Source organism: Homo sapiens, chromosome 18 (assembly GCF_000001405.40).
Source record: "Homo sapiens chromosome 18, GRCh38.p14 Primary Assembly".
Lineage (NCBI taxonomy): Eukaryota > Metazoa > Chordata > Mammalia > Primates > Hominidae > Homo > Homo sapiens.
This window is the reverse complement of record NC_000018.10, coordinates 48813467-48817999: the sequence shown is the minus strand read 5'-3', so window position 1 is coordinate 48817999 and position 4533 is coordinate 48813467. Positions and strand designations below refer to the sequence as shown.

At 49.9% G+C, this 4533-nt stretch overlaps 1 protein-coding gene across 24 annotated transcripts in view, besides 1 other annotated feature; it reads right to left on the bottom strand.

Moving 5' to 3' along the window:
• Positions 1-4533, bottom strand: part of CTIF (cap binding complex dependent translation initiation factor) — a 324187-nt gene that overhangs the window by 45218 nt on the left and 274436 nt on the right. For all 24 annotated transcript variants that reach the window (XM_047437960.1, XM_047437965.1, XM_017026100.2 and 21 more), the window contains one exon: positions 624-779. In XM_047437960.1, the coding sequence (XP_047293916.1) occupies positions 624-779 (156 nt within the window). The remainder of the gene's footprint in view (positions 1-623; positions 780-4533) is intronic.
• Positions 3669-3828: an enhancer, noted in NCBI's record as "active region_13298". NCBI's record gives its function as "activates an Ori minimal core promoter by ATAC-STARR-seq in GM12878 lymphoblastoid cells {active_cell/tissue: GM12878}" and the evidence as "EXISTENCE:reporter gene assay evidence [ECO:0000049][PMID:35858748]".

The following is a 4533-nucleotide window of genomic DNA, read 5'->3' as shown; positions in this document are numbered from 1 at the left end:
TTCCAAGATCGCTCATTGAGACAACACTTACCATAGGCCTCCCCTCTGCAGCCAGTGCTCCCGATTGGGAATGACTGGAGCCTCAGTTCACAACACCCCACGGGGGAAGGGGGTGCTGGTTCCCTTTATATAAACCCAACGAAGAAAGACCTGGCTTTGGGGAGCAGAAGTGACTGCTGTTGCACATCTCTTTGCTGAAGGATGGGCCCCCTTTTTTTTTTTTTGGAGACCGAGTCTCGCTCTGTCGCCCAGGCTGGAGTGCAGTGTGCGATCTCGGCTCACTGCAGTCTCCACCTCCCAGGTTCAAGCAATTCTCCTGCCTCAGCCTCCCGAGTAGCTGGGATTACAGGCACCCACCACCACGCCTGGTTAATTTTTGCATTTTTAGTAGAGATGGGGTTTCATCGTGTTTGCCAGGATGGTCTCGATCTCCTTACCTCAGGTGATCCACCTGCCTTGGCCTCCCAAAGTGCTGGGATTACAGGTGTGAGCCACCGTGCCTGGCCCGGATGGGTCCCTTTCTAAGTGAGCCTACCCTCACAGCTTTGTCCCAGTTATCTGAGACGCATTCCAGACCTGGTGCTGTCTGGCTGTGCAGGGGGCACAGGCGGCAGGTCTCTTACCTCCCTGAGGCAGGTGTAGATGGGGCACACGAGCACACGGAAGGGCTCGCCTGTGCTGCTGCGCATGGTGCCGAAGACCTCGCACAGGAAGGTGATGAAGCCCAGCCAGCGCTCCACGTCCTGCTGCTGCAGCTCCTCGCGCACCGTGAAGTCCTTCTGTGGAGGCATGAGAGACCGCGTCAGCCTCCCGGGGCTGGGGAGGGGCCTGGGTGCCACCCTGCTGTGCAGAGCATCTGTTGTCTTGGGGCTGCTCCTGGGCAGCAGGCAAACCCCATGTTTTAAATGAGGATGGGGGTGCGTGATTGCACTCTCTGTGGCTGGGACCACCCTGACCTGGGGCCATAACACCTCTTCTTCAGGTGTCCCCAGGTTGGGGACACAGCTTCCTTGCCTCTAGGCATTGCCCAGACCTGCTGGTCATCCTCCTTCACTGACAGCAATGCTGATGTGGGAGGATGAGGTAGAACGGGAGGTGACACCCTCCCCAGACTCAGCACTTTTCCACTTAACTCCCTGTGGCTAAACCGTCTCCCTTTGCTAACCCCCAAGTCATGCCCTCTGCGTGGTGGACTGGGGGTAACCAGAACACTGCCCACCCACACATCATCAGCAGTGGCAACAGAGGACCATGTGGGCTAGCGCCCCAGCACTGGGCTACACAGCTACAGCCCGTCCCTCGAGGGGCCTAGGCATTCATTCGTTCATTCATTCATTCATCCTCCTTAAAAATATTATTGCCCCATTGTGTGACAGGCTCTGCACTAGGAGCTAAGATAAGACATATTCATTCATCACTGTGATACAAGAGAAGAAAGTATAAAAAACCAAGGAGCTGGGTTCCATGGGATGGTCGCTAGGGAAGGTTTTGGGGATGGGGCCATGAAATACCACAGTCATACCAGTGCTCAACAGAAAGGTTAATATAGCTAAGGTGTGGAGACCACACAGGAGGCCACTGCAAGCATCCAGGCAGGATGAAATTAAAACCTCAGCGCTCTGAGAGCTGAAAGATAAGAATCTGGGGTAGCTTAAATAATATTCAGAAAGATATTTCCCCTACCTCTTGTCTTTGGTTTTGGCCATATGTCTTGCTTTGGCCAATAGAATGAGGCAGGAGTGATGGTGTGCCAATTCTGATGTGAGGCGTTAAATATTTATGTTGACTTTCATGTTTCTTCTGTCATCCTAAGAAGACTCTCTCTGGGCTAGCCTGATGGTCCCAGGGAGAAGGTGGGCAACATATGCGACAGGGCCTCACCTAAGTCTAGCCTAGGTCAGGTGACCCCCAACCAACCTGCACACACACCATCTACATGCACGCTTACTGCTGCGTGCCACTGAGATTTTTATGGTTGTTTGTTCAGCCTCAATAGCTGACCAATACAGGAGTGACACAAGAGACATTGTGAAGGTCAATAGTACTTGCTAAGTGGTGGGTTGTAAGGGTTGATGGAAAGGGGAGACTCCAAGATGACGCCAAGATTCTTGGTCTGGGTGACTGTGTCACCACCAAAATAGAACATGGGAAGACAGGTTGTAGAATGTGACTCAGAGCATTCCCACAGCCCAGTCCCCCACACCACTGCTGACTTCAGCCAAGCATCCTTGGCACCAGAATCTCAGCATCTCCAGAGATGGAAGGCCCTCAGAGATGACTTGGTTAACATCTGTCCCTTGTGAGTGATGAAGGTGCAATCTAGAGGGTGGGCCTTGGTCTCCTCAGGTGGCAGGTCAGGGGCTGGCTGAGAAGCCCTGCAGTGCCAGCTTTGGATGAGCCTAGGCCACAGCTTATAATGACCTGAGTTTCATCAGTTACAAAAAAGTATATACTTGTGTGTGTATCTATAACTATTTTGATATCTATATTTATATGTAAAACAGTAACAGCAGCAGCTGCTATTTGTGAGCCAGACACTGAGCCAAGGATATTAATTGTGGTATTTTACATAGTTATCACAATGGTCCTATAAGGCAGGTCCTATTACTGCCCCATTTTATAGATGGAGAATCTGAGGATAGAGAAGTTGTGTAACTTGCCCATGACTATGAGCCAGTGGCAGGGCTGGGATTCAAACTGACGTCAGCCTGCTCTGGAGACCAAACATTTTTTCTCCTTATGGTGTTTTTTATTTTTCAAAAAATGTTTTTGTGTATATTTAAGGTATACAACATGATGCAATGGGATACATATAGGCAGTAAAAAGGTTACTATAGTGAAGCAAACAACATATCCATCATCTCACAGTTACCCATTTTTGTTTTGTTTGTTTTTGTGGCAAGAGCAGCTCTTATGGTGTTTTTAAATTGGAAAGTAGTGCATCAGAGCCCACGCTTAGTCACTCTCCAAGTCTGTACTTTCCACGAAGCCATTTGTCCACACGGTCCCTTGTAAGTGCAGCCATGCCTGCAGACCTCATGGGCCTCATATTGACCCCTCAGGCCTCCTGCCTCCCCACTCCTTTCTCACTGAATTGTCCACCTGGGTATGATTGTAGAGTTCTGCTGTTTATCTTTCACCCAGGGTGAAAAGGGACCACAAGAGACTCCAGGGACCCCGCAAGTAGTGCGTGCCCAGCATCTTTGACAGCTTTGTCTCTTCTCCCTAGTCCAGAGCCTGGAGCAGGCAGTGTTCACAGGGGGTCCTAGCTGTTCAGGGTCTTTGTGAATGAATGAATTACATTGCCTGCCACCCCAGGGCCTGCCAAGGACCCTGCACTACTGGGCTTGAAGTCACACATCTTTTGGTGGTTTCATTCTCATGAACCTTTGTTTATCCCACAATATTCTTATGTGATCTGAGCAAGAGTGGGCATTACCATTCTCATTTTAAAATGGGGACAACTAAGGCACAAAGATATTAAAAGACATGACTAAGGCCACACAGTACTAGAACTTGAATGAAAAATTAAGCCCCTTCTCTGCTCTGGGTTAAACGCTCTTGCCCTGGTTGTACATTGGAGTCACCTGGAGGAACTCTGAGGCTGCTGATGTTGGGACCCCACCCCGGAAAGTCTTGTGTAACTGGTCAGGGTGGGGCTCAGACACTGGTAATTTTTGGCAGCTCCCCAGCTGATTCTAACGTGCAACCATGGCTCTGAACCACAACTCTAGGCCTTTATCAAGTGCTAACTCGGGTGTTAAAATGGTGCCCCTCTATCAACCCCCAGCTTGTCATTTCCTTATATTCCCTAAAAATACCCATGAAGGCACACATCAAAGAACAAAGTCCCACAGCAACACTGAGAAGGAAGATAACAGTTCCCCAGCAGACTCCTCCCAGACTCAGGAGGTGACATCATTAACTAAAGTGCTGTCACCAACAAATTCTGGTTGCCCAGGGGACCCAGAAGACCAAAGACAGGGGGTAGCTTGAGGCTTCAGCCCCTTCCTCTATCTGTCTCTGGCTGGTAGACAGTATCTGTCAGTACTAGCAAAGCCCTGTGCCTGTGTATTAAGGCAGCTCCCATCTGCACCACCCTTATTCCAGGCCTTGGAGATTCGGGGCAGTGCAGGGGCAGGAGGAGACTGGGTGAAATGCTGTGTCCTTTAAGGGATGGTGCTCTCAGGCAAAGCCCTCTGGGGCAGGAAAAAACTTGGAGGCAGTGTGTACAAGGAACTGAAGTTTTAAAAAATAGATTGCATCTGATCAAAGAACTAGCTCTTGACTCAGTTTCTTCCTGATCATCCATGGCATCAAGAGAGCATTCTGTTTTGGGCTAGCAAAGGTTACTAGGAGATTGAATGCCTGCTAAATATTGGAAATTGGATTTGAGATGAGCTCATGAAGCCACCCTCCAGCTTTAGGTCTGAGAGGGAGACTCTGCCTAAGCAGACACCAAGCTAGTCCAAGGCTGATGCGCACAGCAAACACAAAAGACCAGACAGGGGTGATCTCATTCAGGATTGAGGG